The 11,983-nt window shown below is 40.8% G+C and overlaps 1 protein-coding gene across 7 annotated transcripts in view; it reads right to left on the bottom strand.

Moving 5' to 3' along the window:
- SOAT1 (sterol O-acyltransferase 1) overlaps positions 6,029–11,983 on the bottom strand; it is a 64,884-nt gene continuing 58,929 nt past the window's right edge. For all 7 annotated transcript variants that reach the window (NR_045530.2, XM_011509911.2, NM_003101.6 and 4 more), the window contains one exon: positions 6,029–11,124. Coding sequence is in view for 6 of the 7 variants with exons in the window: in XM_011509911.2 (XP_011508213.1) it covers positions 11,068–11,124 (57 nt within the window). In the remaining variant the exon portion in view is untranslated. The remainder of the gene's footprint in view (positions 11,125–11,983) is intronic.

Here is an 11,983-nt window from a genome sequence, read left to right as displayed (position 1 = left end):
ACTAAAAACACAAAAATTAGCCAAGAGAGGTGGCGCGCGCCTGTAATCCCAGCTACTCAGGAGGTTGAAGCAGGAGATTCGCTTGAACCGGGGAGGAAAGGGTTGCGGTGAGCCGAGATGGCGCCACCGCACTCCAGCCTGGGCAACAGAACGAGACTCCGTCTCAAAAAAAAAAAGAGTATCATCAGAGCCTTCGCACTGAACTGAGGCTCGGTTCGGTGAGGGATCATTTCTTTTCTTTTCTTTTTTGAGACGGAGTTTCACTCTTGTTGCCCAGGCTGGAGTGCAATGGCTCGATCTCGGCTCACCGCAACCTCCGCCTCCCAGGTTCAAGCGATTCTCCTGCCTCAGCCTCCCTAGTAGCTGGGATTACAGGCATGCGCCACCACGCCCAGCTAAATTTGTGTTTTTAGTAGAGACGGGGTTTCTCCATGTTGGTCAGGCTGGTCTCGAACTCCCGACCTCAGGTGATCCACCCGCCGCGGCCTCCCAAAGTGCCGGGATTACAGGCATGAGCCGGATCGTTTCATATTAAGGCAGAGATTTAGTGCCAAATAATGAATCGCTGGGAGAAGCCCAGCGTCTAGTTGCTTCCAGACAGGGAGGAAACTTTATCTTATTCAATCACCATATTCCTTAGCACCAAGTAGAGTGCCTGGACAAACATGAAAATCAGTTGGACAGTTCTCTTCTGTGTTGACAGAATTACGGCTATTTTCTGGTTTTGAGTGTAATAGCTGTGAGAAATTCGAGCAAAGGGTTCAAAACAAGTCTACATGGTCCCTTTGAACTCTTCCGATCAAACATGTTGGGTGTGTTAGCATTTTAGCCTTTAGCCTTATCTCCCATTACCCTAATTTTTCAAAGAATTAAAATACACATAATAGCATTATAGAGCACACAAAATTATCCATCTTTTGTATTCTTAACCTAGTTCAAAAAAATCCAAGTACAGTATTAAGAAAGCAGATAGAAATAAGTGAACACATTCTAGAAAAACACATAAAGTATAATCTAAAGGATTTAGGAAGTGATTAGATCTGTGAGACATCAAAGGTCTCTTTTCTGTCTTGTGCTGTGGTATGGTGATCATACATAATGTCAGAGGAGTTTGAACCATAGCAACTCCATCTTGAATAGGCACTGGGTAAAATAAGGCTGAAACCTACTTGGCTGCGTTCCCAGATGGTTAAGGCATTCTAAGTCACAGGATGAGATAGCAAGTCATAAAGACCTTGCTGATAAAACAGGTCGCAGTAAAGAAGCCGGCTAAAACCCACCAAAACCTAGATGGCCACGAGAGTGACCTCTGGCCGTCCTCACTGCTATACTCCCACCAGCGCCATGACAGTTTACAAATACCATGGGAATGTCGGGAAGTTACCCTTTATGGTCTGAAAAGGGGAAGAATGAATAATCCACCCCTTGTTTAGCATATCATCAAGAAATAACCATAAAAATGGGTAACCAGCAACCCTCAGGGCTGCTCTATGGAGTAGCCATTCTTTTTTTCTTTATTTTCCTAATAAACTTGCTTTGCACTGTGGACTCGCCCTGAATTCTTTCTTGTGCAAGATCTAAAAACTCTCTCTTGGGGTCTGAATCTGAACCCCATTTCCTGTAACAATACAATTTACTAAGACTGGAAACAAAGGAGGAAGACCAGATTTGGAGGAGGGCTTTGGAGAAGGATACGTTTAGGACTGTGGATATATTAAGTTTGCAGTAAGATTGAGATATCTGGATGGGAATGAAAAGTAACTATTTGATTATACATTAATACATGGGTATGAAGCTCTCGGCAAAGGCCTACGTTAAAGTTGAACGGATGAGGCAGGGCGTGGTGGCTCATGCCTGTAATCCCAGCACTTTGGGAGGCTGAGGTGGGCAGATCATTTGAGGTCAGATAGAGACCAGCCTGATCAACATGGTGAAACCCTGTCTCTACCAAATACAAATACCAAATACAAAAATTAGCCTGGCCTGGTGGCACATGCCTGTAGTCCCAGCTACTCAGGAGGCTGAGGCAGGAGAATCGCTTGAACCCGGGAGGTGGAGGTTGCAGCACCATCGCACTCCATTCTGGGCGACAAGAGTGAAACTCCCTCTCAAAAAAAAAAAAAAAGTTGGATGAATGGCTGGGTGTGGTGGCTCAAGCCGGAGTCATCCCAGCACTTTGAGAGGCTTAGGCTAGAGGATGGCTTGAGGCCAGGAATTCGAGACCAGCTTGGACAACGTGGCAAGACCCCATCTCTACAAAACAAAAAGAAAAAAGTTAATAGATGAGGCATAAACAAAAACAATACAATAAGACTATAACTATCAAAAAATACAATTGCTACTTATAAGGTAACTCCTCTCCTAATTTTTAATTATACCAAGAGAATCCTAAAATGGAGTAAAGTAAAATACTATTAAGGTCTTTGATGGAAAATACCATAGCAAAATGTAAGCTGAGTAGGTAAGAATCTTCCTAAACAGAAAACCTCAAGATGTGTAAAAGTGATGGTCAGAGTCGATTTTTTTTTTTTTTTCTTGAGATGGAGTCTCGCTCTGTCACCCAGGCTGGAGTGCAGTGGCGTGATTTTGGCTCACTGCAACCTCTGCCTCCTGGGTTCAAACGATTCTCTGGAGCCTCGGCCTCCTGAGTAGCTGGGATTACAGGCACCCGCCACCATGCCCAGCTAATTTTTATATTTTTAGTAGAGAGGGGATTTCACCATGTTGGCCAGGCTAGTCTTGAACTCCTGACCTCAGGTGATCTGCCCGCCTTGGCCTCCCAAAGTGGTGGGAATACAGGCATGAGCCACCATGCCTGGCCTATCAACTCATTTTCTAACTGTGTGGTCAGGGATTTATAAACACATCTGCAGGCACTTAGAGCATGCAAAGCTCCCTAAAGGAATCTGCAGGGGAAGTGGGCCAGTGTTTGTATTTAATGTAGCTAAAAAAAGAAGGTACCAATTAGAAACTTCCATTTTTTTTCTTCCTATTATTTTTAACAGAGTCTCACTCTGTCACTCAGGCTGGAGTGCAGCGGTGCAATCTAGGCTCACCACCTCTCAGGTTCAAGCAATTCTCCTGCCTCAGCCCCCTGAATAGCTGGGATTACAGGCACGTGCCACCATGCCCTGCTAATTTTTGTATTTTTAGTAGAGTTGGGGTTTCACCATGTTGGCCAGGCTGGTCTCAAACTCCTGACCTCAAGTGATAAGCCCACCTCAGCCTCCCAAAGTGCTGGGATCACAGGTGTGAGCCACCACACAGGGCCTCCAGTTAGCAACTTTTAAAAGCAGACACTGAGAAGGAAATCTAAGCACTACTCAGCCAAACACTTTCCAAGGGAAAGAGTAGCTTCTAGTATTGCTTCCACACAAGAAGGGCATCCCTAAAACTGAATGATGTCTGACTTTATCATTCAGTTCACACACGGGCATGCCTACAGGAAGAAATATGCTTTTGTATTGTTCATGTGTCTTCAGTGCATGGCATAGTATCTGACAAATGATTATGCAGTCTGTGAGAATAAATTCATCTTTCTCATTGTACACTAAGTTGGGCTTCTACAGAGCAAATTCAATGATCATGCCAACCTTGAGGATGCTACTGAGTGATTTCTCATAGTAAATTTACCAAGTTATATGTTTTATAAATCAGATGCATGAATTTGGTTGAGTCCAAATGATAGTTATCCAAGCCTAAAGTGACACAACTCTACGCTTTCATAAATTCATCAGAAAAAATTCCAACACTATGGCTTTGCCCCTAGCAGCAATGAACAACAGCCACTGGGTCCAAGAAACAGGGGCAGAGTTAACTTCTGAAAGGATTTCCCCTTTCCCACTCCTTTGGCACTGCAGAGCCAGGTGGGTATAGCTAGATCATCAAGAGTAACTGGAGAGTATTCCTTGACTGTTGCTATCATATGTGCTTCCACCAACAAAGTGTTGCAATGTCAAGTATTCCTCATAATAGGCTCCTATTACGAGTAGATTCTTTGGAGAAAGGGCATCTTCATCTGAGCTGCCATAACAGAATACCTGGGACTGGGTACTTTATAAAGAAGAGAAATTTGGCTGAGTGCAGTGGCTCATGCCTGTAATCCCAGCACTTTGGTAGGCTGAGGCGGGTTGATCACTTGAGGTCAGGAGTTCAAGACCATACTGGCCAACATGGTGAAACCCCGTCTCTACTAAAAATACAAAAACTAGCTGGGCATGGTGGCCGGTGCCTGTAATCCCAGCTACTCAGGAGGCTGAGGCAGGAGAATCATGTAAAGCTGGGAGGCGGAGGCTGCAGTGAGCCCACATCACGCCACACACTCCAGCCTGGGTGACAGAACGAGACACTGTCTCCAAAAAGTAGGCTCTGCCTCAGTAACAGCACATTGGCAATACCTGAATTTTGGAGGAGACACATTCAAACGATAGCAGGAGGAAGCAACCCTATCTTGCTCCAAAACTGGTTTCCCTTAGTCTTAAGAGGCATACCTCCTAGCCAACCGCTTTTCACCTTTCATTAAAAACCTAAAGTCCATTTCTACCCATCAGAGGTAGAGCAATGCTTTCTTAGATACCTTCACAGGTTTTTGTTTTGTTTTTGAGACGGAGTCTCACTCTGCCGCCCAGGCTGAAGTGCAGAAGCACGATCTTGGCTCACTGTAACCTCCACCTCCCAGATTCAAGCGATTCTCATGCCTCTGCCACCCAAGTAGCTGGGATTACAGGTGTGCGCCACCAAGCCCAGCTGATTTTTGTATTTTTAATAGAGACAGGGTTTTATCATGTTGGCCAGGCTGGTCTGGAACACCCAAGCTCAAGTGATCCACCTGCCTCAGCCTCCCAAAGTGCTGGGATTACAGGTGTAAGAAACCACACCAGGCCCCTTCACAGGTTTTAAAAGGCCAAGAGCAAAAGGAATTAAGCAACAAATAACGGCCTCAAGAGAGAGAGGCAGCAGAAGAGTCACTGTCACTGCATTTCTTGATGCAAATACAAAGTCACAATTGGGCCCCACAATTTATTTGTAACCTTTAACACAGTTCCCCTTCATTAGACTGGACAAGAAAGTCCTAGTCAGTTGTTTGCCTTCTCTTTTGGCTATATTCAGCATATAAAGTTGCCTGGTATCAAGATGAACAGCATTTATGAACATGAACCATAGAGTTAATACTAAATACACTTGAAGTTACTTTTAAAAGAGACTTGGTTTCTGGCCGGGTGCAGTGGCTCATGCCTCTATTCCAGCACTTTGGGAGGCCGAGGCAGGTGAATGACCTGAGGTCAGGAGTTCAAGACCAGCCTGGGCAATATGGCGAAACTCCATCTCTACTAAAAAATACAAAAATTAGCCAGACATGTGATGTGTGCCTGTAATCCCAGCTACTGGGGAGGCTGAGGCAGGAGAATCACTTGAACCTAGGAGGGGGAGGTTGCAGTAAGCTGAGATCACACCACTGTACTCTGGCCTAGGCAACAGAATGAGACTGTCTCAAAGACATAAAAAAATAAAAAATAGACTAGGTTTCTTCCAAATATATTTATCACATTTACATGTGCAGTATTTTGCCTTTTTTGTATATTTTTAAGTTAAAAAAAAATTTTTTTTTGAGATGGAATCTCGCTCTGTTACCCAGGCTGGAGTGCAGTGGCGCGATCTCGGCTCAATGCAACCTCTGCCTCCCGGATTCAAGCAATTCTCCTGCCTCAGCCTCCCAAGTAGCTGGGATTACAGATATGTGCCACCATGCCTGGCTAATTTTTTTGTATTTTTAGTAAAGACGAGGTTTCACCATATTGGCCAGGCTGGTCTCGAACTCCTGACCTTGTGATCCACCCACCTCAACCTCCCAAAGTGCTGGGATTACAGGCGTGAGCTACTGCGCCCGGCCTAAAAATTTTTAAGTTAATGCTAATACAACTCATACTAAACAAAGTATTGGTACCAGTGATCAGACAAGGACTTGCAGGGGGCAGAGGGAATAGCAATTCAGGAAAGTAACATACAAGAATGAATCAGAAAAGACATCTTTCACTATAGAAAAACCTTTAATAACAACTTCAGATTTACATGACCCTTCTGGTGCTCAGAACACTATGGATTAACACACACACTGGAAAGATACAGACACAGGAATCTGCTGCATTACCCCAAATGGCAAAGTCTTGACTGGGGCTTCAGCTCCTTTCCCAATCCAAAATTGGCACCTTTTTCCATGGAAATTCAAACTGCATCTCTAAATGATGGGGTACATGAACTGTCTGTTTCAAAAGTATTTAAAAACAAACAGGAAGTACAGCTTCCATTTCATTAAGAAAACACCACCACAAGACATGGTGCAGTATCTACTAGCTTAAAGTTTATCACTCCATTAGGGCTTATTGACAGCAGAAATGTGAATGTAGTAATGTAGAAATAAGGAAGAGAGCACTTAAGAAAAAAACAGTACAGAAGTTTTAGAGTTTTTTAAACTTTAATAATATGCTTGACTAATATAGTCAAAAGTGATATGCACTCGTGAAATTAACCCATTTTCTGAAGTCCAAATTAGCTATTAAAGTCTTTTTTTACCAAAAACATATAAGGATTTAGTACACTATATAGATTACATAGCTTTCCTACCAACCTAAAGCTTATCAACTTTATTATTGTCTACTGATTTTCAAACTAGGCATTAAATTTAGGGTGAGAAAGAAGTGATACACTCTGTTTCAACTAGGGTGGTTGCATATTATCCTCTCTTTAAACCGGGCTTATATGTAATTTTTTTTTTGAGACAGGGTCTCGCTCTGTTGCCCATGGCTCTGAAATGGAGGGAACTGGGACATAAATGTTTTGAGGAATTAAGTGGTGTGATCACAGGTCACAGGTCACTGAAGCCTCCATCTCCCGGCTTGAAGCCATCTTCCCACCTCAGCCGACTGAGTAGCTGAGACTACAGGCGTGCACCACCACGCCTGGCTAATTTTTGTATTTTTTATAGTGACAAGGTTTTGCTATGTTGCCCAGGCTGGTCTCAAACTTCTGAGCTCAAGCAATCCTCCTGCCTTGGCCTCCCAAAGTACTGGGATTAAAGGCATGAGCCACTACACCCAGCGATATGTAACATTTTATTTCAACAGAGGGCCAACACTGTATTACCTGACAGAAACTTTAATAATGATACAAAAGTCAAATCCTTATATAAACTTCACCCAAAACATTCACTTTGGCCGGGAGCATGGCTCATGCCTATAATCCCAGCACTATGGGAGGCTGAGGCTGGCGGATCATGAGGTCAGGAGTTCGAGACCAGCCTGACCATCATGGTGAAACCCCATCTCTACTAAAAACACAAAAATTAGCTGGACATGGTGGCAGGCACCTGTAATGCCAGCTACTCGGGAGGCTGAGGCAGGAGAATCGCTTGAACCCAGGAGGCAGAGGTTGCAGTGAGCTGAGATCACAGCACTGCACTCCAGCCTGGTGACTGAGACTCCGTCTCAAAACAAACAAACAAACAAAACATTCACTTTATTCCTTGAAACATTTATGTCCAGTTCCCTCCATTTCAGAGCCATAAAGCCTAGAGATAAGATACATAAAATACCCAGAACAGACCTTTGTGTGTATACAGTGTATGTATACATACCATATGTAGCATTGTTATGTAGTATTACATAAATTACATGAAATTTTGCATAAGATTAGTAAGCAAGTCACTGAAACTTTATTAACAATAAGTATGGGCTTGGCATGGTGGCTCATGCCTGTAATCCCAAAGCTTTCTGCAGTGGGAGTTTTGCTTGAGGTGAAGAGTTTGAGACCAGCCTGGGCAACATAGGGAGACCCCCCCCATCTCTAAAAAAAAAAAAACAAATAAATTAGCTGGGTGTGGTGGTAGGCACTTGTAGTTCTAGGTACTCCAGAGCACTATTTGAGTCCAGGAGTTTGAGACTGCAGTGAGCTATGATCACGCTACTACCAGCCTGGGCAACAGAGTGAGACCCTGTCTCTTTAAAAACAAAAACAAAGTATGAGCTATCTTCCATTAAAAAACTGATTCTGGAGCAAGGAGCCAGGAGCCGTGGCTCACACCTGTAATCCCAGCACTTTGAGAGGCTGAGGCAAATAGATCCCTTGACTCCAGGAGTTTGAGACCAGCCTGAGCAACATGGTAAAACCCCATCTGTACAAGAAAAAAAAAACTGGCCTGGGCGACAGAACAAGACTCTGTCTTAAAAAAAAAAAAAAAAAAAAAAAAAGGCAGCCTCAGTTTTCTAATTAAATTCTAACATGAGGCAAGCAACTTTACCTGCAAAGTTTTAGTATGTGAATCTACCAACAAACAAAACAAAATTCCATTTTGCATCATTATCCAAGATTGAGAATAAAAGGATCTAACAAATTTATCCTCACACATAAAGGTACTAGAAGGTCAAGTTAGAGATCTAATGAGAAAGTGATATACATACTACATAATTGTTCTGTTGGTTAATATGCCCAAAATAATAGTTACTATCATTACATCTTACAGAAACAAAAACTTTAAGCTTATTACTTTTCAGAAGGAAAAAAGTATCCTATAACTGAAAATAATTTTCGCCACAATAGCAAAATAGAAAAAATAAATCTTCCTGAAACATTAGCAAGAGATTTTAGTTTTTATTTGTTTAAAGAGTATAGGTGGTGGTTTCAAGAAAAGACTTTTGCTAAAAGCAGCTAGCAATAAGATTATGGCTATCAAACCAGTTTCTTTCATAGAAAGTGACCATTCCTTGAAGTGCTACTGTTTTTGAAAGTTTCTTAGAACAGTCTCAGCATTCTAAACAGTCTGTAGTTCTACATATTTGTTGTTGCAATCTTGGGCAGGAAAATCACTAATAACAGGAAACAGAGGCCGGGCACGGTGGCTAACGCCTGTCTTCCCAGCACTTTGGGAGGCTGAGGTGGGCAGATCACAAGGTCAGGAGTTTGAGACCAGCCTGACCAACAGGGTGAAACCCCATCTCTACTAAAAATACAAAAATTAGCCAGGCGTGGCCCTGTAATCCCAGCTACTCAGGAGGCTGAGGCAGGAGAATAGCTTGAACCAGGGAGGCAGAGGTTGCAGTGAGCTGAGTTCACGCCATTGCACTCCAGCCCCGGCGACAGAGCAAGACTCTGTCTCAAAAACAAACAAACAAACAAACAGGAAGCAGAGAGCTTTTTGAAAAATAGCCTTGATCAATCCAACAAATACAGTATTCAGAAACACTACAGAGCAACAAAGTCTTCTCATAAGAGTCATATTTATAGTATTTCTTAACAGAAATATAAACCTAAGAATTCCATTCTCTAGATTCAAAAGATTGGCTTGCTCATAACCAGGTCTCAGCGCAATCTGTCCCCAATATATTTAAAATGCAGTTATAAATTCAAAATAAAAATTCGTTTTAATTTTAAGAAAAATGTCAAGAATTACAAGCCATATTAAAGCAAACTAGTTAGCAGGTTATGATTCCATTACAATTACAATACTGTTGTGCAGAACATTACTGCGGGAACATGCAGAGTACCTTTTTAAAAATAACTTCCCTTGAGTGTATTTGTTTCCGTTGAAGTTGGATTTAATGTTTGAAAATTACCTAAACTCATCTGGACCAGTGGTATCGTGAGTAAGATACGTGATTAAGCTGGATACTTGTGGTTCAAATTAAGTTGTGACTATTAAGAAACTCTACTTACCTTCTTGTGAGACTCAAACTGACTTTAAAACAATTCCAAACAATACCAAGAGAGCCTCTCAAGTGGCTGTTCCAAGTAACAACTATCATTTAAATAATTCATAAATCTTACTTTGAGTGGAAAGTTGAACTACATGGTCTCTGATACCCCTTCCAATGCTCAATCTTTACAATCATACCTCATACATACAAATAATTCCTACACACATTGTATTAGAAATGGGCATCTTATAAAATGGAAGTATTACATAATAGAGTACATTTCCTTGAAACCAATCACATATTAATTTATTCCACCTAAAAACATACTACCATTAAAAGTATAACTGAGCAAATGCAGAAGCCAGCTTCTGGATTCTTAATGATCACTTTAATATGAGTGGAGGTGATTAATACTTATGGTACAGACTCACTAGTCTGCAAAATAATTCAAGAGAAGTCAATATTTATTAGACAATAAAATAATTGTTCCAAAGGATATTTCTAAATAACTTCAAAGAAGTTACCACAAAGTTAAAAAGGAATATCTTCCATGTTAAGTTTGTGATAAAATAATTTAAACACATGATTGACTCTACAAATCTTTTTTACAAATTACTTCAGAAGTTATAAGAGGAAATGTTTTTCTTTTTCCTCTGCTATCTCTTATTTTTTCCTTCCTACTTCTGATCCCCTTAATATACAATATTATTGATGTAAACTCAAGAATTCATGGTAAAAGGCATCTTTTTGCTTCACAGAAATCATGACCTATAGAGAAAACAAGGTAAAAACTAAGGAAAACTGAACATTGAACTTTTTTCAAAAAAATTACAAAATAGGATGTATAACATTATCTTTGGAAAACAGACATTTTCTTTCTACTAGAAATAGCAAAAATCATTCTACATTTTTTCTTCCCCAATTGCATGTTCAATTAGCATACATTCCAACAGTGTGCATGAAAAAATTTCTAAGCCAGAGGTATTTAAGTGATTTCTTCCTAAGTGTTTTGGCTAATTCAGTGGCCAAGAAACTATGATGTTTATTCTCTGATTGGACAGAGTCAAGAAACAAAACAGATATAATTACCAAGGGATAAAGCTGATATGACCCAGCAACAATCTGTCATTACTTCAGCTGTTAGTCGGTCTTCTCCCCCCACCCAGCCCCACAAAAAAAGTTCTGCTCTGCTTAAGTGTACAAGACTCCAGTGAACTTCCAACAGTTTGGCTTCAAGTGACCTAGGAATGGAGTGAGTCATCTGTAAAGCCTGGAGTGGTCCAAATAACACAGATAACTTCAGTAACAACTGGAAACAGCTGGCTCCAAATCAGGGAGCTACCCAATCTTCAGTGACAAGGAGGAAACAAAGTCCAAGCTTCTAAAACACGTAACGACAAGTCCAGGAACGTGGCCGGACATAATCCAAAAATGTGGGCTGCAGTGGGGAAAAATAAGAATGGAAAAATAATTTGTGTACAGAGTAGAGGAGGTGTGGAGATAGGCAGGGATGTTAATATGATACATTGTACATCTCTAAAATGCCTCCCACCATTTCAACAACCCTCAAGGTATAAGCAGCTCACTAATTCAAAAGATGTTCAGTACTTTTATCTATAACACAGATTTATTCAATTAGGTGCTTCACATAAAGCTTTTAAAGTCCAGTAAACTATACACAATTGTGTGGACTTTGACCAGTTTCTAAATAGGCACTATTTCTTTCTGTATCTTTATTTTAGCACAGCCCTACTTTTAGTACCTTAAAATCTAAATGGTGGTTAAGGACGACAAATAGATATATATATATATATTTATATATAACCACCATTTAGATTTTAAGGTACTAAATATTAGTATATATTAGTTAATATATAATATATAAATAAATATATAAATATAAATATATATTATATATACACATATATAAATGACTAATATATACATAAATGACATATATATAAAAATGACTAATACAAGGTTTAAAATTACTGAACTATCAAAGGAGGAGCAAATGAAGCACTACAAAAGTTCAGAAATAGGAAAGAGAGGGAAGCAAGCATTTGAAAAATCATCATGGAAGATGTGGCATCCAAACTGGATTTTGATAGGAGAATAAAATCTGACATGTGGAATCCAGGTGACCAGGGACAGTCAAGAGCAATTACTTCAGATGAACAAAGGAGATTAATATGAAATAAAGAGGGAGAGTTGAGGCAGCCTAACAGACATAGGGTACACAGAAAGAGGGGAAGCTTTGGAGAGGAAACTGATTAATTTCATTATGGACATCTTCA

Source organism: Homo sapiens, chromosome 1 (genome assembly GCF_000001405.40).
Source record: "Homo sapiens chromosome 1, GRCh38.p14 Primary Assembly".
In the NCBI taxonomy this organism is placed as follows: Eukaryota; Metazoa; Chordata; class Mammalia; order Primates; family Hominidae; genus Homo; species Homo sapiens.
The sequence above is the reverse complement of the archived record's forward strand: the minus strand, read 5'-3'. Positions and strand labels throughout refer to the sequence as shown.